The sequence below is a fragment of the Homo sapiens genome, chromosome 4 (assembly GCF_000001405.40).
Source record: "Homo sapiens chromosome 4, GRCh38.p14 Primary Assembly".
Classification (NCBI taxonomy): domain Eukaryota; kingdom Metazoa; phylum Chordata; class Mammalia; order Primates; family Hominidae; genus Homo; species Homo sapiens.
In genome coordinates, this window is record NC_000004.12 from 173420372 (window position 1) to 173441910 (window position 21539).

General features: G+C 39.1%; 1 protein-coding gene and 1 pseudogene across 2 annotated transcripts in view, besides 1 other annotated feature; one reads left to right on the forward strand and one right to left on the reverse strand.

The window, feature by feature from the left end:
- Positions 1–21539, reverse strand: part of SCRG1 (stimulator of chondrogenesis 1) — a 134444-nt gene that overhangs the window by 35671 nt on the left and 77234 nt on the right. The window lies entirely within an intron of this gene.
- On the forward strand, positions 59–17786 carry LOC124900814 (60S ribosomal protein L38-like; annotated as a pseudogene).
- Positions 14682–15184: an enhancer, noted in NCBI's record as "NANOG hESC enhancer chr4:174356204-174356706 (GRCh37/hg19 assembly coordinates)". NCBI's record gives its function as "activates a minimal SCP1, AML or CMV promoter by ChIP-STARR-seq in naive H9 embryonic stem cells {active_cell/tissue: H9 hESC(naive)}" and the evidence as "EXISTENCE:reporter gene assay evidence [ECO:0000049][PMID:30033119]".

The window sequence follows — 21539 nt, forward strand, 5'->3', positions numbered from 1 at the left end:
TTTACTGCAATCTTTTAAACAATGCTTGGCACATAGTAGGTGCTGAGAAATATATTTTTAATAAATGAAAACACTTCTGAAAGAATGGTAGCTGTTGTATTTTGGTAACATGACCAGTAGAGGTCATAGATGAGTTCTTTAATTATCTTGGAGCTACAACTATTGTGTCTGTTTATACAAGGATCTATTCATTCTAGATGTCTTGGTGATCAGTGTGGATTACCGCACAAACAATTTGGCGGTAGTGATTAGCGTCGATCATGAAAACTGCACATTAATGATGCCTCAGATTGGCTTCCCCTTCATATATGACCTAGTCTTGGGAGCCAAGCTGAAAAAAAAAAAAAGAAAAGCAAATAGAAAACAGGATGCAAGTTAGGGCAGAAAGTGTTGGCTTCAAGGCTATGTCTGTCTCTATAAATTGCTTGTAAATGAAAGTTAAATTTAAATAACCAGAGAAGATAGTAGAATGCTTATTGTCAATTGCAAGCTATTTGTTTAGATTAATAATACCTCCTCCCCAAAGTCTGTGTGAGTGTGTGAGGTGGGGCAGGGGAGGAGTATATACTGATAAAGCCTGTTAATACCAGGACACTTGACTGGCTTTTTCCTCTTCCCTTTTACCACAAAAAACAGCAGACCACAAATCATAAGCCATGATTCTGCCTGAGTGTGGTTTATTCTCTCTGGCTTGATAGCTCGTGCCTAAATATCACGGTATGTAACCACAGATATGGAGGTATAAAGGAATGATGACTTTGGATCAGAAGTGAATACTTTTCTTTTGATTGCATATGGATTTTGATAGATTGATTAGTTCAAGGATAAACATTTGAGAAGGAAGAAAATGTACTTTATTGATTGCCCCCCACACATCAGGCACTGTGATAGCTACTCTTCCATGTTATCTCACTCCTTGAAGTGAACAATGTCAAAGATAGCATCTAGAACTTAGTAGAAGCTCAATAAATTGTCGAATGAGTCAGTGAACAGTAAATGACTCTTAGGAAAAAGCATCTGTTTCTCTGTTTTGGTTTAGTTTGTTGGGGGGGGGTTGATTTGTTGCATTTTTTTATGTTTATGTTCAGTGTTTTATATTCATTACAGGCATCCATCTCCTGGGTCTGAAAAGTAAATAGAATGTGGTCCCTGTCACAAGACACTGAAAGGTGGGCCTGGATGGAGAGCTAGGACGAGGGGATGTTAATTCTGGTCCTGCTCTGAAAATTAGCCATTCCCTTTGATTATATATGATAAATCATTACATAATTCCTACCTTTTCTACTTCACAACATGTCATGAGATAAATGTAAGATGCCATATTTGAAAGGATAAATGCAGGGGTAGATTCTCTTACGGGATGATGTAGAAAGAGAATATGCCAGCTTTTCAAAAATATCTTTAGTATGGGGCAGGTAGGGTGGGAGGATGGGGAAGATCACTGTTGGAAGACTTTCCTCTAAAAGATTATGGAAGTTCATTCTCACACTAACAGAAGTAAAATAGGATTTCTTTCTTCCTCTCCTTTTTGTTTTCTTCCTCGATAGCACTTAGAGCTTTAGTTGGCTGTCAGACACATAATATATAAATTGCAAGCATGATCATCACACAGAATGTAAAGATGCCAAGTGTGCATGAACAAATTAGAGGTTTCTTAGTCAAATCCAAGCAAATATGTACCTGATAATGGCTTTGGCTGAAACATATTTTTATATTTTATAGCATGTTCACATTTGCCAGTGGTTAGCAAAGATTAAGCTTGCCAAACTTTAATGTGGTACAAATGCCATGTTCAAGGCAAAGTAAGTGGACTGTTACAGGATCTGGCAAATCAAAAACATTATCAACAGCTGTGGTTTCCAAAGGTTTTGTGAGACTGGAATAATAAAGTTGTGTGCATTTTAAGTGGTTATTAATTTTCCCATTGTTTTTAAAAATATAACTTATGATCATGAGTAGCTTCACATGGTGTTATAGTTATAATCAACTTTTGATTAGATGTGATAATGGCCAGAAGGCAAAAATTAATTAGGTCCCTAATTATTTAATTAAGGATTTATAGAGTGACTTCTATATTCAGGGTCATGTATTTGTTACTAATTGTAGCCACTCACTTCACATCCCTTCCCATCCTTACTTTTGCCAGAATTGTAATAAGTGTTCATTTGAATTTCACCTATTTCCATTGATCATTACTAGCGGACACATCTTTAGATGTGAAAAAGTCAAAAGGAAGGATAATGAAGAAAAACAGTGATTCTAAATTGTTAAACAAGAGACCTTTGTATAGTGGAATTTAGTATTATGATTCTATCTGATGTTAAAAACCATTTGAAAAGGGACAGGAGATTAACATTTTGTCTAATCTAGCAACTTGAATTGAAAAAGTTTTATCATGACTATGACCATATATGATACCAATCATTATCAGTATCTTGGCTTTTCATTTTATATTTTAATTGCTATAATTATAACGCTGGACAATTAAAAATTACCTTTTCAATAAAGCTGGAAACAAAAGGAAAAAATTGTCTATCAGAGATGATCTAAATTCACATTTTCTCTGTAGAGTCTTGGAATTTACTGTTTTATAAAAAGCAGTCTCCAAGGATTATGTTTTCTCTTTGGATGGGTGTTGGTTTCAGCTAACCTCAAGGAGACTTCGGTGATTCACGATTCACCTGGTTTTCTCCATAAAATAATTGGGAAGAAACTGCTATGAACCTCATGACATTAAATTGGTTAAGAAAAAAATCTTAACTATTAATATACTAAGTGTACATTTTCTTAAAAAAGTGACTTTGTTAGTTTCAAATATTTTTAATAACACACTTAATGCTTATAGAGTTGATTTATCACCAATAGTGTTGCTTAGTAAATGTCTTTTGAAGATGTTTTTAATGCAAAGATAAGGATTCATCTAAGATACACAAATCTAAGTTCATACATGGACTAACTCTTCAAGTCATTATTGTTTTTCTAGAGGCCAAAAAACTTAGTTGGACCTATAGATATTTTTATTGAAATGAAACAGTGTTACCAAGAAAAATTGCTTTACCATTTCAGTACTTTATCCAGTCTTCCCTAATCAGTTTAGCACATTCACTTGCATGGTTGATAAAGACAGCGTTTGCTAAAAAAGTTAAAATGAAGGTAATCTGGAGAAATTATTCTAAATTTGAAATTTATTTTAAACTATTAATAATAAAAAAACCTTTTATTTGTATCCTTATTGTGAATACAATACTTTCATATACTATAATTCTCTTTTTTTGGTCTTTTATCTCTTTTTTTTTAATTTTTTTTTTATTTTTTCCTTATAGCATTTTGTTGTGACTGTAATACCTCTGATGGAACCTGTCTTAGTCCATTTTCTGGTGCTACAACAGAGTATTACAGACTGGGTAGTTTATAAAGAAAAGATGTTTATTTGGCTTATGGTTCTGGAGTCAGGGAAGTCCAAAGGCATAGTACTAGTGTCTGCTCAGCCATTGATGAGGGCCTCCTTGTTGTGTCATCCCATGGCAGAAAGCAGAAAGGCAAGTGACAAATGCAAGAGAAAGAGAAAGAATAGAAAATAACTTACCCTTTCATCAGGAGCACACTCCCATTATAACTAACCCACTCCCCCAACAACAGCATAAATTTATTCATGAAGGCAGAGCCTTCAGGACCTAATTGTCTCTTAAAGGTCCCACTTGTCAATACTCTTATAATGGCAATTAAATTTCAACATGATTTTGGAGGGGACAGTCAAACCATATCAGAACCTTAATATACAGCTCATATTGAGGGAAGTTTTTAGGGAAAAACTTGAGCAGACCACAAAAACTTCAGATACATAAGGACAACATAAATGGCTTATTTAGCCATGCTCTGTGGTGCTTCATACTATTAGCATTTAGCTATTTGGTTTACTCTAATTTCTTAAAAAAATAGAAATTGTATTTATTCTCAAAATGGCAAAACTATGATATAAAAATTTACAAGGCAACAATTCAGCCTGTTACAAATAATTAATACCATTGTGTGTCAACATGTCACTTAGAAATAAAAAATATTATTAGCTGTTTCTTCTAACCCACAGTAGCCTTATTAAAAGCAGATGATATAAACCTTGGATACATGAGGCCAGGATGCATTTGACTGGCACAGATCATTGCTCTAAAGAGCAACTGATGCAGGACTACCTTCTGGACCATACTATATGCAAGGCCATTTTCTACTATACTGTGCTTAAGAAATGTATGAAGCTAGGCTGGGCGCGGTGGCTCACGCTTGTATCCCAGAACTTTGGGAGGCCAAGGTTGGTGGATCTCCTGAGGTCAGGAGTTAGAGATCAGCCTGGCCAACATGGTGAAACTCTGTCTCTACTAAAAATACAAGAATTAGCTGGGCATAGTGGCATGGGCCTGTAATCCCAGCTACTCGGGAGGCTGAGACAGGATAATTACTTGAACCTGGGAGACAGAGGTTGTGGCAAGCCGAGATCGCACCAGCTTGGGTGACAGAGTGAGACTCCATCTTAAAATAAAATAAAATAAAATAAAATAAAACAAAACAAAATAAATGTGTGAAGCCCATATAATGTTGAATGACTTTGTAAACCCAAGCACAATAAGATGCTATGTAGAAATTGTCAGTCATCATTTATTTCTGCCAACTTTCCAAGTTCCTATGCCAATCATTGGGAAGAAGATTACATATACACTTTATGACTTCTTAGCTGACAGGAATATGCTGGTGTGGAAATACTTTCATGGTTCTGTAACATCATTGGAAAAACTTAAGGCTGAGTAATCCATAAGTAAAAGTGCATTTTCACAGGGCAAAAAAGGCAGAGTTACCAGTAAGTTGTCAATTTCATGACCACCGTTTTGCCTTTTTAATTTGGGTTTAGGACATTCTTTTCATTTTCCAAAAGACTTCACATGACTAATTAGGAGGATTTTGCCATAAACTCAGAAGGCAAAGCTGTTCAAAAAGATCACTGTATGCTTTTCTTGACTTTGAGTCAACAGCAAGGAATTTTCTGGTCCTTTTAATTGGTAGCTGGCTTTCCAGTAGTTTTCCAATGCAGTAAACCTAATTCACCCCACTTATTTTAAAAGATATCCACTCTGTGTCTCTCACACATATACTGGATCTCTTCCTGTGTTCCCTAGGGGGCAGGTATGATGGACTACTGTATTTCCAGGCCTATAGTTCTTTGTGCTGTTAGAGCTCTGTATTCTTTTAGTCCACTGGCCCAGGGCCCAATGAGACTCTCTGATCAGCATGAGGGCTGGATTCTGAACATTCGTTCCTGACACCAGAATGCCTCATCAATCTTTTATCCAATAGGAGCCTTGCCAGTGCCAATTCACTCATGGAAAAATATTAGCTCATTTCTTCTATTCTTGTCTACTGCATTCTTCTCCCTCCCCTGCTCCCATATCTCCAGGGACCTAAGAGGGTGTTCCACTGATTGCTATAATGATAGTAATAGGCAATATTTATTGAGCACTTACAATGGGCCAGACAATCCAAGAACTCCACACATTGAGCAAGAATGCTTCCTTAGGCCTAGCTGTCAACACTCCCACTGCCACTTCTGTGCCATCATGCCCATGCCATGGGGGGCTGAGGCCCCAAGCTAACAGTTCTCCTGGGGTAAGTTTGCCAGATTTCACAAATATAAATATAGGAAGCCCAGTTACATTTGAATTTCAGAGAAACAGTGGAAAAAATGTATGTCCCAAATATTGAATGGGACATACTTATAATACAAATCATTTATGTTTACTTGAAATACAAATTTAATTGGGCTTCCTGTTGTTTACCTTGCAGCCCTGTTTGGTACTGTCTGTACTACATCTGTAGAAGTGAGCCACAAACCCCAATGTGCCCAGGTTTCTCCTCATTCATCCGGATGTTTGAGGTTGGGTCCCAGGAAATGAAGCAGAGAAAAAAAACACTGGTGTCTGATTTCCTCTTCTCCTCCCCTCCCCGACTTCTTGTACTTTCAACTCCATCCACCACATATCTGTGTCCCTACTCCAGGTGTAAGTAGATGCCCAGTATACATAAAATCTGTGATCTAGTCAGCCAGTCCTATTTATTTTTATTTTATTGAGACAGGGTCTTTCTCTGTTGCCCAGGCTGGAGTGCAGTGGCACGATCATGGCTCAATGCAGCCTCAACTAGGCTCAAGCGATCCTCCCATCTCAGCCTGTCTAGTAGCTGGAAGTACATGTGTGCTCCTCCACACCCAGCTAACTTTTAAAAAATTAGTACTTGTGGAGACAAGTTCTCACTGTGTTTCCCATGCTGGTCTTGAACTCCTGGGCTCAAGCAGTCCTTCTGCCTTGGCCTCCTAAAGTGCTGGGATTACAGATGTGAGGCACCTTACCTGGCATCAAGAATTATTTTCTTGCTGTTGATTTGGAAAGCTTATTTGGATGCCAGAAACTAAATATTAACTCTTTTGCATTCCTATTGCTTTACTTTGATCTCTCCCTGGTACCCTTGCAGATCAATGGCTCTCTGGCTAATAAGATACCAAGAAATGCAAAAGAGAAATGCATACTGATGTATTTGTGAGGAGGAGGATTTTGCAAATTAAATTATATGCATGTTTTAGCATTGTCTGTCTTCCCCTTTTTTACCACCCTAATCTAGAATTTAATCTTCATGAGCATATAGACCCTAACCTGGGAATGCTAAAACAGGGCCAGGCACTGCCTAGTAAAAATGTGTTGAGTGACTTTTCCAGTGAGGAAAATGAGACTTAGGAGGTTAGTTTGCCCCATTTGCACCCCAGAGCTGGGCTTCACATGTTGATCTGACTAATTCGTGAGCCCTGGCACATCACTGGTATGTATTTCTGCCTATCTGCTGTCTAGCAGTTCATACAGTTTGTGTGTGGTATGTTTTTCCTCTTGAAGTTTGGTTTCAGTGTGGAAAAAGCAAAAACAAGAAATACATTTCTTCTTTAGCTCAACAAAAGGGATTTTTCAACACTAGCAACAAAAGGTAAAGGAAAAACTGAAGAAAAACAAAAAGAATCTCAAAAGCACAGAACCATCATGTTTATAAAATACTGCTTTCTAATTGTACAATGACCAAAGATCTTTTTATTCTGCATCTTGTCTGAGAGTCCAATGCGAATGCCGTGATCTTGAGATAATAATTTCTTGCATAGGGCCACACATAGCCTATGGGAAGAGGCACCTTTTGCTGGTCAGACATGGTGCAGCTCCATGGCACACAGCCTGGTAGGAGGAGCGCAGACTGAATCTTAGCTGCACTTGCTGCTCTGGCCAGGCACCCTCATGGACTGGACAGCCCACACCTCTATAAGTAATGGCCTTTTCTTGGCATATCTGGCCCTCCTTCTCTGAGGTAGTGGGAGTTAGGACTCTAACATATGTTTTTGCTGGGGACACAATTCAACTTATAGCAGGTTGCTAAAAGAGTTAAGTATGGTAACTTATATGAAGCACCAAACAGAAATCCTGGAATATAAGAACTACTTAATACTTAGCAGATATTATAGTTATTAATGATTTGTCCTCTGCTCTTTTGGAATGGTTACTTTGGGATTAAATGGACATATGTATAGACGACCTATGCATATGTATAAATAAAAGTGTGTAAATATCAGAAAATGTTAGACACAAGAATCAATTATTGAAGATCAAAGAGAGACTTTATGCATATGTTTGGGGTGGAGGGGTGGAACAGAGCAGGGATACAGGATAGATGGTGAATACATGTGATAGAATGTGTCCGGATTGACTGATTTTGGGTTAACACTCCATTTAACTTCACTTTGGAAACAGGTCAAAGGGAGACAGAAAGGGAATCACAATTTACCCCTTAACAATATAATTCATGTCAGAAATAGTCAGAACTTTTTTCTTTGATTTTGATGACAGAAAAACTCAAACTATAATTATTCAACAAACAGCATTGCTGGGGAAACGTTTACTGGAGTAACAGTTTGAAGCCTCTGTGGGGTTTAAAATGGTACACTTTCTGTGGCACCTTAGGCTTCCATGTGTTATTTGAAGAGAAATTCTCACTGTTAATGTAACCAGAAAGAAGAAAATTATATTTGTTAGGTTATGAAGAGAGACATATTATTTGATCTTGAACTCTCCCCTTCAGGACATCCTTCATGGAGGCTGTACACCTAAGACAATGAAATGGAATGCATGAAAAAGAGGGGAGCCTTCAATAACAGGAGGGTTGTTTGTAAGAATCTGATCTCCATTAAGAATAGGGCCAGAGGAAATACATTTGAATTGCAGAAGGAAGAATTTAGGCTAGATCCAAATGCTCTCTGACTGCATGGGTAACCAGTGAAATAGGTGCCCACCATCTATTATGTGGTGGATGTAACCAGTACATTAGTTGTAAAATAGAGGCTAAACAATACCTTTTTAAGGGAGATCTGTAAAATTTTGATAGAAATAGCATTGCTAAAATTCAAAAATCATAAGGCCTTCTGAATATTCTAACCAACATGTAAATTTGCATTCCCTTACTCACTTTTCCAAGATCACTCTTAATTTTTTTCTAAATAATCCCTCTAATTATTATTACTCAATTCAGTAATATAGTATACTTTTAAAAAATGTATTGTTGGGTTTGACTAAATTGATCAAATTGAAAGTTAATTTTGGTGTTGTAAAGACATGATCTTGTAATGTTCCCACTCAAAGATGTCTATTAAAGTCATACCAAAGAAAAATAGAAAATGGAAAGAAGAATTCCAAATATTAGAATTAAGATCTAAATCCTGATTTCCCCAGGGACAGCTGGATTTCTTTGAGAATGAGTTGTTCCATTCTTTTTATTTTTGCAAAACTGATTTCAAGGAACCTTTCTAGTAAGAAACCATTCTTGTTTTGTTTTGGAAGGTATGAGAAAAAAAATTTTTTTTTTGAGACAAAGTCTTGTTCTGTCACCCAGGTTGGAGTGCAGTGGTGCCATCATAGCTTACCATAGCTTCAAACTTTCAAACTCTTGGGCTCAAGCAATCCTCTCACTTTAGCCTCCTAAGTAGTTGGGATGATAGGTCCATACCACCATGCCTGGCTAATTTTATTTTATTTTTTATGTAGAGACAGGGTCTTGCTATGTTGCGCAGCCTGGTCTCAAACTCCTGGCATCAAGTGATCTTCCTACCTTAGCTTCCCAAAGCTTGTGATTATAGGAATGAGCCACTGAACCCATCCTGAGAAAATTTTGAACCTTGTTCGTGAGGGGTGAGCAGAAGGAGGAGCTGCTCTCTCCATATGGATTGTATTGTCGATTGAGACAGGCACATAATTGCACAAATTTTCTTTTCACTTTGCCTAAGAAGACATTTTCAATGTAAGTCTATAAGGAATCAAACGTGGTTATCAAACCAGTCCACTTCCAGAAGGGACTCCATATCCAAAGGAATCCTGACATATAATAAGAACAAAAATGTTCAAAGTATAACATTAGCCTTGATTTCTAGCAATGTTGCCAAGTTCATCTGAAAGCTCTGTTACTATAAATCACTTAGATAAGCTAAAATATAATAAGCATGCTTTTAAATGCTACAAAGAAAGTAAGGAAAATACCCTGCAAACTGATCTTTTGATGGCTATGGGTTTTTTTTTTTGTCAGTATAATTAACAATGGGTTTGGATTTTAATGGCCATGAAAGTACAAGAGACAAATCTTTGGGCCCATGAAAGGCAGAAATTTAGGCCTAAGACCCTTAAATAAAGAACTTTTGAATTACTGTAGATCTGTGAAGCGGGGGAACTGAAAATGTTTATCTTCTCCCAGTAGGAGACAAACTTTTGTGCTTGGCCTGATCTACTAGGAAAAGAGGAAGCAAAGGAAAATCCTGAGGATATTAGAAAACCTGAACCCTAGGCTGCTCTCACTCAGGTTTAGGGTTTGAGTTTTTACTATCTGGATGACACCTAGGTTCTCCACAAAATAATGTAAAAAGCATTCTCAGGTTGATAACAATACTGGTGCCCCCTAATATGAGTGACTAAAAGCCTTCTCTAGGAAGACCTATTTTCAACCTAGGTTGCACAGGAGTCCTATAGGTAATGTGCCACCCAACATGAACTCACAATTCTAAATTACAAAATACAGGAAAGGCAGGGCATGCTGGCATATGCCTGTAATCCCAGCACTTTAGGAGGCCCAGGCAGGAGGATCACTTGAGCCCAGGAGTTTGAGACCTGCCTGGGCAACATACTGAAACATGTAGAGACAGCAACATGCTGTCTCCACAAAAAATACAAAAATTAGCCAGGTATGGTGGCATGCACCTGTAGTCCCAGCTACTTGGGAGGCTGAAGTGAGAGAATCACCTAAGCCTGGGAGGTAGATGCTATGGTAAGCCATGATCATGCCACTGTACTCCAGCCTGGGTGACAGAGTGAGACCCTGTCTCAAAAAAAAAAAAAAAAAAAAAAAAAGAGAGAGAGAGAGGAGAGAAAATACAGGGAAAAACAATCTATAGTCATCAGAAAAAACAGCCACTATAATTAGATCCTCATTTAGAAAGAGACTAGAAAATAGTATGTTTACAAAGGTGAAAATAATAGACAGTGGGGACTCCAAAAGGGCAAGATTTGAAAAACTTCCTAAACTACCTAGTGGGTACAATGTTCATGATTTGGATCATGGGTTCAGTAGAAGCCCAAACCCCAGCATGATGCAGTACCACCATGTGACAAACTTGCACGGGTACCACTGGAATCTAAAATAATTTTTAAAAAGAAAAGAAGTATGTTTAAAATTGTTAAAGAGAAAAGGCAAACAGAGTTCTGCTGATGGGCAAAGGGGTACTGCATGTTATTTGGGGGACCACTTCCTGTGGCATAGGCTGGGGTTCAAGCAGGGGAACTGAGCATGGGAGTGGGCAGGGCTCCTGGCCTTTGACTGTGGACCAGCGGGCAAAGGGAAGTTTCAGTCTGTACTCCAGCTGAAAGTGAGTTTGGAAAGCAGACTGATTAATTCCAAAAGGGTAGAAACAGCAAGAACCCAATGAAAGTGAAGCATGACAAACCCAATGAATTTAGAAGGTGGAAGATGTGGTGTGTACTCTAAGGCAAAAATACACAAATATAAGTACCTGTTTATAAGTCACCTTTAGAGAAGTCTGTGATTGGAAGCTTGCTGGGGCAATAGTCAGAGGTATTGCTTTGCCTGTAAAGTGAAGCCAGATCCAATAAAAGAGACTATGCTGGGGCATTAATAGCAAATTTCAATGCCTTGAACCATAGATATTTAACTAGAGTTGGTTTCTCTCATCCCTGCCCCAGGAATGTCTGCCCTTTGTTATGTGAGTATAAGAGGCAAAACTTCCAGGGTCTTCTGTCTGATCATCTTCCCAATGAATGGGACAGAAAGTTTCTTAGCACTAGAATTGGGCCTTGATGTTTTATCATAGTATGAATTAGTGTCATGCCAGGTCTGTAGGTAATACATCACCATGCAAGGAGGTGTGTTGAAGACATGTGATGGTTACTTTCATCTACATTCAACTGTTTGGAACTTTTTGGTACCTGTTTTTTGATAAGGAATGGAATAGTCAATTAAATAAATAAAATCAATTCAAACTGTTTGCTTAAGAAACTTCCAGATTTCCAGATAGGAATCACTTGTCTTCACGGACAAAATCCAACTTAGAGGTAAAAGCCAGATTAGCATAACTTGATGAGGATCCATATAGTGGTTGCACATTGTGATGTTGTCAAATGAAGCATTCTAGTTGAGTAGGAAGAATTTAGAGCCAGTATCATGGGATCTGGAAAATCAGCCAGCAGTAATTTTTCCCTCCCTCCCTCCCTCTTTCTATCTACTTTACAGGTCCTTCTTTCCTTTCTTCCTTCTTTCCTTCCTTCCTTATTCCCTTTCTTTCTTCCTTCCTTCCTTCCTCCCCCCCTCCCTCCCTCCTTCCCTTCCTTCCTTCCTTCCTTCCTCTTTCATGTTTCCTGACATCTATAAAAGGGAGATTCCTCTTCCTCTTCCTCCCCTTACTCCTCCTTCTCCTCCCTCTCCTCCCTTCCTTCTCCTCCTTCTTCCTCCTCTCCTGTCTCTCCCCACTCCCTCCATCCCGGTCATTCCTTTTCTCTCAGTATCTGTCTTTGTGGATAACTCTTTCTACCCACTTTCTACCCATTCGCCGGTATCTGCTGAATGCTGGCCTCAGCCCATGTGTCTACATGACCTTCCAGCCCAGCTCCCCAGAGTTTACCGTGTGCCACACTCTAGGTTTCGGTTCTGTCAGGTGCCTCCTCCTGTCTGAGGCAGGCATGGAGGGAGTGGAAACTAGTCATAGTCCTAAAATGTATAGAAAGGGAGAGAGTAGAGTTTCTTTTTACCTTCTTGAGTAGAAATACAGCCACTCTTTGCTCTGCAGGATAATTTTCAAGCTACCCTATATGTTTAAGGCAGCTGGGCATCTCAGAGTGCTGTGTGATTTATTTGTACAGATTCACGTAACACTACCCTGTTCTCTTAGATTTGGTTGAAGCTGGTGGTCTTTGTTATAGCTTGTGGTTCATGATTTATCTGAGGATTACATGAGGAATTTTTTCTCTAATGGTGTGGTAAAGGGCAGAGGAGGATCTCCCTTTTACAGATATCAGAAAGCATGAAAAAAATAGAATTGGATTTAATGCTTTGCAGATATTCTGTTTTTCTTCCCAATTATTTGATTTCACCTATATACATATTCTTTTCTCTTTTTCCTAGCTTTAGAAGCAAACCAACAAAAGCAGTTTGGACTTTAGTAACTTTTTTTTACAGCAGCATTTAGAACAGTTTGCATGTTCTGAGGAATATTATATGTGTGTTGGGGGGAAAGGAATTCACACTGAATAAATTTTAGAAATAATTAAACAAAATAAAGCAAGTTCCTTTACTGCAAGACTTCTCTGATCCTTTAATATACTAATAGACTTTGTGATACTCCAAATTGTAAAGATAGTTCTCCCAAACTTATTTGACCTTCCAAAAAACATAGTCATGAAAACAGAAGCTTTTAAGCTTGTTGTGTTTACCAATGCAAGTTCTGCTGCTCTTCTGACCCAAGAGATTGTCTGATCCTGTGCTGGATTAATCTCAGTGACATAGCCCGCCCTGTACACTCTGCTGTGTGATGCAGGGGCCAAGACTCTGAAAAGTGCATTTCGCTCTGGTCTGTGAGCTTCCTCTTAGGATGCCCTATAGGGACTCTGGACTGCAGGAGGAGGGATGGGGATTTCCCTTCTTTCTGTTTGCTTGCTGTTTCTAGGTGTCACCCTATCAGTGGCCTTTCTCTGGGCAGCACTAGTCATCTTCTGTCTTCAGCTTCTTTCCTTGCTCTTAGAACCTCACTGCAATCTGTCTGAAGGAGCAGTGGACTCCAGCTAGTGCCTCTGTCGGAGGTCAGAGCCCCAGATCCAGGAAACCTGTCCTACAAGCTCCTGATGTATCAGGAATGACTTGGCAGTGGCCCCACCTCAAGACATGGGTCCCTACTCTATGAGGCTCTCATCTAACTTACAGTTCTGGAAACTCCAACCTCTTCCCTAAGAGTGGTAGTTGCTTCTTACTTATCTCTGTTATCTTAGTGCCTCTTTGCTTTTTAGCCTTTCAACATCTGTAATAAACTTCCCATATCAAATTCCCTCTGTTAAAATACCTAGTGTGGTGTCCATTTTCTCGACCGGACCTCGATGGAAAAGAATGCAGTCCTCCAAGGGAGTGGCTCTGAGATGGGGCCAGGGTGGGAAGGTGGGTAGAGGAGACAGTGGAGGAGAAGCCTTGAATTCTTTCCTTGAATCTAAAGCAGTGTTTTTCAAATGTTAGAAATTTAAGGAACTCAGAGGAATTTCATTTCAAAAATTTTACAATATCCCTTGAGATAATAGGATATGATCTGGGGGGTGGTAAAAAGTAGAATTATTAATTTCTTTTTGATTTAAGGTGTTATGTTATTGCACAAGTTTAGTAAAAAGGGAACTAAAGGAATCCTTTCTCAGGCCTCTATTTGCCACAACTGTAAACCACATATTTGAAGAAAGGGGAAGGAGATCGTGTGACTTGGTAAAGTATTGGAATCAGGAGTGAAGTGCAAGCAATACGTTCTAAATGGAATTTCCAAAGATACATTTTAAAATATTTGGTTTAATAAATAACTAAATTGCCGGGCGTGGTGGCTCACGCCTGTAATCCTAGCACTTTGGGAGGCCTAGGCGGGTGGATTATCTGAGGTCAGGAGTTCGATACCATCCTGGCCAACATGATGAAACCCTGTATCTACTAAAAATACAAACAATTAGCCGGGTGTCGTGGTGACGCCTGTAATTCCAGCTACTTGGGGGGCTGAGGCAGGAGAATTGCTCGAACCTGGGAGGCGGAGGTTGCAGTGAGCCAAGATCGTGCCACGGCACTCTAGCCTGGGCAACAGAGTGAGACTCCGTCTCTAAATAAATAAATAAATATAAAAAATAACTAAATTAAGTCTCAGGTTCGTAAATATTAGTGATCATTAGGATCATCTGGGGAGCACTAAAACTCCACATTGCTGAGTTTGATCCCAGGCCCAGGGGTTCAGGCTGGGGTCTTAGTTGAGATGCTAGGATTGGGATCCTAGGAATTGATATTTTTTGAAAAACCACCTTATGCGATCAAAGAAATCCAATGATTAACAGATTTAGGATTCACTATTATATAGAATAAAAATCTTTTAATTATAAATGCATATATATCTATGTGTGTGTGTGTGTGTGTGTGTGTGTGTGTGTGTGTTTAAAGAACTTAGATTCAACTTCCCCTCCACCACCACTTAAAGTATGAGGAGCTAGGAGCAATACAGTGTTGACAGTCCCTATCCTGGCAGGGGGCAGTTGGGAAAACACTGGATTAGAAAAGATGAAAGACAATGGAGCTTCCCTAGGAGACTGATTTTTGAAGGGCTTTTGATCATCCTCCACCCAGTGTCAAAGCCAGTCATGAATCCTCAGAACCAAGGAGGTCCTGGCAAGTTCTGTTGTGGTTACCCGTCGGACATCCCTGTCTGGTCACCGGGGCTCCGAGGGGTGCCCTGCTCTCAGGATGCTGGGATATGAGTGTCTAAAGTGGGCCTTTCACTCATCAGTGATTTTCCCAGGCTGTTACCTGTGTGTGAGTCTGAGATACAGTGACCAGGCAGGTGACTTCAAAACTGTCCACAGAGACTGCCAGGGGCTTGTCAGGTGAATGGAAAATGAAATAAATATAAGAACATCGCCAAGGTAGGCAGCAAGAAAGAGTAGAATTTAAACTTAGTCAGAGTCCATTTTTTTTGCTTTGTGACTTTGAAATGAAATACAGAGCAAAGGAGAGTCTTGAGGTTTTTTAAACACTCTTGTGAAAGGGGAAAAGGGTGTTTCCCTGGCACTGCTGGTGCAGACCTGTCTTGTCGCCATGCCTCTCAAAATTAAGAAAATCAAGGACTTTCTGCTCACAGACAAAAGGATGCCAAATAACTCAGGATCAAGAAATATAAGAATAATGTGAATTTACAAGTTCAGTGCAACAGATACCTTTATAACTTGGTCATCACAAAGAGAAGGCAGAGAAACTGAAGCAGCCCCTGCCCCCAGTTTTGGCAGTGAAACAGCTGGAATACACTGGCACAATGATTTAACTATATTAAAATTCTTTTTAACTCAAACAACAAAATTAATTATTTCAATTAAAAGGATGAAAAAAACTCCTCGTTTTCTAATTGATTCAGTCAGCCAATCGCCTGGTGGAGTCTGGTTTGGGTTATATCATTGGGTTAGTTCGTGTTACTTAGTGTTCTGGATTTGATCAGGAAATCCACCAGGCGTGTGGCTTTTCAGTAGTGGAATCTTGTTGGCAGGAAAAGTCCTCAGCACACTGGGTGATTCAAGTGCACTTTCATAATTTGCTCTTGCTTTACCCTCTTTGTTATGTCCACATTCCACACGAATCCATCACTTCTCTCTGAGTTATGTGCTGCTCAGGACTGATGCTCTTACCACCCACCCAGTCAGAGCAGCCTCTGCTTCTCAAACTCGCAGAACCTGTTGTTCTGTCCCTCTCTTACCTAGTGCTGTCACTGTAGCCTTTTACCTCCAGCCGGGGGCAGGGAAATGACTCCCCAGAGAGCCATTTCTCATGGTCATAAATGTTCTATTTTACTAAGTTCCATCAACATTCACCAAACACTGAAGCAAAACAATCGTTCTCTATGGGTTCTTTTTTTTTGGTATAAACATATATACTGCCCATTAAAGTGCATAAGCTATTTGTGTATGTGGGATGGGTAAATTGGAAGCCATGTCAGCATCTGTACACAAATCATTTGTGTGTGTTGTAGGGTACGTTTACCTGTTTTTCAGTAAGGGAGTAAGACACCTTCATGCCTGGCTGAACCACCAACTTCGCAGGCTTCGTGTAGACACTACAACTGTTTATGTGTTTGGATTTTCACTAATTACTCCTCTCCAGTTTTTTCCCCTGGTGTCCCAGGTGTGTTGATTTTAATTGCTTCACTCATTTAAGCATCTCCCCAGACTGTAATAGATTAGTTAGCCGTCCAAGCCTGCTGCTGGCTTTCCCCTCTCCCCTTCTCATTTGCTTCCATACCCAAAATAACCAGAAACATTCATTGCTCAGTAATGAGGCTGCAATTCTTCTCTGCGGAATCCAGGAAGACATAAAAGGCAGTCTCTATGTTAACATCAACTCCTGCTTTCCTCGTCTTTGTTCTATTATACGCTCTCTGCTGACTAACTTTAGAGAAGAAGCAAATGTTACCCCACCTTACCAGAGCATGAAGTTGTGTTACTGAGCAATCTTAGGGCAATTTACTATGTAAGACACTCAAAACAAACCAAAATAGACACATACACACACACACACGCACAGAGTAGGTCAAAACAAAACAGTGTGGGCATCCTTTCTAATTTTTCAAACCTCACCTGCTGAATAGCATATTTAATAAAGCACATACCACTTATTTGATCTGGCAGTACTTAACGCAATAACTTACACACAAAGAAAGGCCCAAACATTTAGCCACAGGATGTCATCAAATAAGGGAAGAAGGTTTGTAATAATGGTTTGTAATTAATGTTTAGGTTTTAAGAGATGCCTTAAGAAAAACAAAAGGTCTTATTAACTCATTTGCCCTCCTAAATAACTCTATTTTTCAATTGACTGAGCAAACACCCAATTAGAGTGGTAATTTATTAGGGTCATACATTAGCTGAAAAGAAAACAGAAAAAAAGAAAAGCTGTATCAGAAGCTAGAATTACCAAAGGCTGATCTTGTTTGAGTTCATATATGGTATCTTTTAAGCAGGCTGATGACAATCTTTCCTTTATATATTAAAGATAAACAATTTAGACATAGTCCCCGCCTGGCTACCTTAATCTTAATTGCAGGAAAAGACAGTATAGAAACACGGATTTAAAAACAGCAGCAACAATAAAATGAAAAAACATAGGCAGTGCCAAGATGCACAAAGAGAGAACGGTTTCAAATATCACACTGAACTTAGCTTTCCTTCAGTTGATCCATAAGGCCTGCTATACCACATCATTCCAAGAAACACCAAGACTTTGTAGCTTTGCTATGGACACTATCAGAAAGGTCAGTTGGTTTGATCAAAATTGTGGTTGTGTAGCTTCAGCCATTCTCATAGCAAAAATTGGTAACCTAAGGTTGACAACTAAGTTTTTTATTTTTTAATTAATTAATTTATTTATTTTGGAGACAGGGTCTCACGCGTGTTGCACAGGCTGGAGTGCAGTGGCATGATCTGGGCTCACTGCAGTATTGACTTTCTGGGCTCAGGTGATTCTCCTACTTCAGCTTCCAGAGTAACTGGGACTACAGGCCTCTGCTACCATGCCCAGCTAATTTTTTTTTTTGTATTTTTTTGTAGAGATGGGCTTTCTCCATGTTGCTCAGGCTGGTCTCGAAATCCCGGGCTCAAGCTATCTGCCCACCTCAGCCTCCCAAATTGCTGGGATAACAGGCGTAAGCCACTCTGTCTGACCAACTAAGCTTTTTATAAGGGAGCCTGCAGTTTCAACTAAATCTCAATTAAAATTGCTGTCATCTGTTATATTTATATTATTTTAAATTTTAAACTTTGATTGGAAATGAGATTTTTTGATAAAATAATGAACTCTGAGCAACATATTGATCAATCAATGACTAATATATTAATCATGAGTTTCTTAATAACAAACATTGAGAAGAAAGTTAGAAAAATACCATCGAAATGTTTGATGGGATTCTAAATATTTGCAGGCCCTGTTTTTATCAAAGTTCACATTTTTCAATAAATCTTTTTTTTAATTCAGTTTTTTTTTTCTTTCAACTATTGCTTTTGGGACTTAATAGATTTACCTAATTCTTGCAAAGCTTGATCATGATATTTCACTTCTTTCTATTTAAGACTTCATAAAAAATTGAGATGTTGTAGTGGACAATAATTATCGTAGATAATAAAACAGAGACCGTGTTGGCTGTTCACCAAACTGGGTTCCTCTTCTTCCTGGACACCTACATGGTTTCCAAGGAACGGTTCCAATTAGAAGTGGCCATGAGACTGAGTCCTGGTGCATGGAATGTGTGCAGATGTGATGTATACACTTCTGGGGCTGTCCTCTTATGAGCCTCCCAGGAGTGATTATCCACGTGCTTTCTTTCCTCTTCTTCCAGTTTAATGCAAATAAGTTCAGGCCCCTTGGAAACAGTTGAAAATGGCAGAGTCACAAGATGGAAGGAACCTGGGTCCCAAAACATTACTGCTTGAAAGAACACTTCCAACGAGTCAGGAATACCCATTTAAATGATCCAAGAATAAACTTTTTTGTGTGTTAAAGATTTTTGGGCCTATAATCCCAGCACTTTGGGATGCCGCTGTGGAAGGATCAGTTGAGTCCAGGGGTTTGAGATGAGCCTGGCCATCATAGGCAGACTCTGTCTCTACAAATTTTAAAAAACTAGTCAATTACAGTGGAGGACACCTGTGGTCCCAGCTACTTGGGAGGAGATCACTTGGGCCTGAGAGGTCAAGGCTGCAGTGAGCCTTGATTGTACCACTGCACTCCAGCCTGGGCAACAGAGAGAGACCCTGTTTAAAAAAAAAAAAGATTTTTTAATATACATGCATTATACACATATATGTATCATATACAATACAAATATATAAAAATATACATTATTATATAATTTCAAAAATTATTATAAATATGTAATTGCAAAAATACAGAAAACTATATTTAGATATATAAAAGTTTTCTTATTTGGGGCAAATACATGGAGACATGTCCTCCCCTCTTACCACGATAGGTAAAGGTGGATAGATAATTCTTGTCCCTTCTCTCTGGCAAAAGCACGGGCATGTGGCCTGACTCAACCAATTAGATGTTCCTGCCAGATACTTGAGGGACTTGAGGGAATGATGTGCTTAATGATTCTTCCTTCTTTGTTTTGAACAAGGACACGTCACACTGTCTTCATGGAAATTATTTTCCTCTTAGGTTGTAATAGGGGTATTTCTTTTGCAGCTCTAAATCCAACTAGTCAACTTGTGAACATCTCTAGGTGAAGCTTCAGAGAAGTCTTTCTGACATGTCAGCTGTATTTCTGCAAAAATATGGTGATATTTCTGTCAAAATTAGTTTTATGGTGTATTTAAGCAAACTCAGTTTCTCTCTATTTTCACTGCCTGGCAAATGAGAAGCGCTACAGGTTTCTTTTTGTTTGTTTTTCACACACAACTGCTTAGGGGAGTGGTTAGCAGTATGTTTACCGTAAAGAATTTCATTTCTAACTTTTGCTCTCTACAGAATCTGTGTGGATTGAAAGGTTTTTCATTTACTAAAGGCTTTACAAAGTAGTAATAAATTTGCTTTTCCATATTTTGTTACTTCTCTCCTACTCCTCACCATGGAATATGTAGGCTAATTCTAGGGGAATGGGCACGGCTTTGACATGGGTTAGTGGGAATTTGAAATTTTGGCAGGCATGGCAAATTTGAATTTTGTTGGACATTTGGAATTGCCAGTCCTGGCTTGATTGGTTTACTTTAATAACATTTATTTTGACAGATAGTGTGTTAGGTGCTGAGGACACAGAAATTAGTAAGCTATGCTTTTCTCTCCAAGAAGTCATAATCTGGGAACGGAGACATATACACGAAAAGACATATCCAATATGGTGTGGCAGTGTTGGGCATAGGTGGATGTAAGAGGAGAGGGCTCTCTACTCATTTCCTAGGGCTGCTGTATCACATCACTACAAACCAAGTAGCAGAAATGTATGCTCTCATAGTTCTGGAGACTGGAAGTTCAAAATCAAGGTGTCAACAGGGCCACCTTTCCCCTGAAATCTCTAAGGAAGCATCCTTCCTCCATCTTCTAGCCTCTGGTAGCTGCTGAGAATCTCTGGCATTCTTTGGCCTGTAGATGCATCACTCCAATCTCTACCTTCATCTTCATATGGCTTTCTCTTCTGTGTGTGTCCAAATTTCCCCTTCCTTAGAAGGACACCAGTCGTACTGAATTTGGTACCCACCCTAATCCAGTATGATCTAATCTTAACTTGATTCGGTCTGAAAGTACTCATTTCCAAATAAGGTCACCTCCACAGTTTCCCGGTAGACATTAATTTGGGGGTGGGTGGGGGGACTATTCAAAGCAGTATAGGGCATTGAGTTCAGATGAGGGCAAGTCAGAAAGATGATCAAAGGATGTTTCCTAGAAAAGAAGCTGAGCTGTATCCTGAAGGGTAAATGAAAGTTAAAAGAGAAATAAGATGGTTCATCACCCAAACATGTGTGATACATGTAAAGGAGGCTAAAAACACCTTCTACACACAAAATTTTATTGTGTCACTTATTTTAGTTAACAGTAGGTTCAGTCTCAAACATTTACTTTGTCTTTTTCCTGTGGCAAAGTCTCCGTCACGGCTCTAATCCAGGCGATCCTACTGTAGTCTCAGCTGTGAAATATTTAGAATCCATGTGCTAAATATATATCGCATTAACACTTCCTGGTGCCAAAGTCTCTCTGTAATCCCACCCCCTCTGTCCTGATTCTAACTGTGAACATGGAACACCTGTAGACCTCTTATTTTTCTCTAATTTTGGGTCTGGGACTACTTTTGCTCATAAAAAGTATAAAGGATCACTGTATTAGGATCAGAACTAACTTCATTTATTCAGTCAAGTCATTCATTAATTCCATAAACTTTGTTGAGTATTAACTATGTGTAAACCACTGTGCTAGATGTGAGGCAATTAAGAAGATGAATACAATATAAGTCTTGTCCTCAAAAAGTCTGTAGTCTAGGCTGGGTGCAGTGGCTCACACCTGTGATCCCAATGCTTTGGAAGGCTGAAGCAGGAGGATCACTTGAGCCCAACCAGGAGTTCAAGGCTGCAGTGAGCTATGATCATGCCACTGCACTCCAGCCTGAGCAATACAGCAAGACCCTGTCTCTCAATTTAAAAAATAAAGTCTGCGGTCTAATA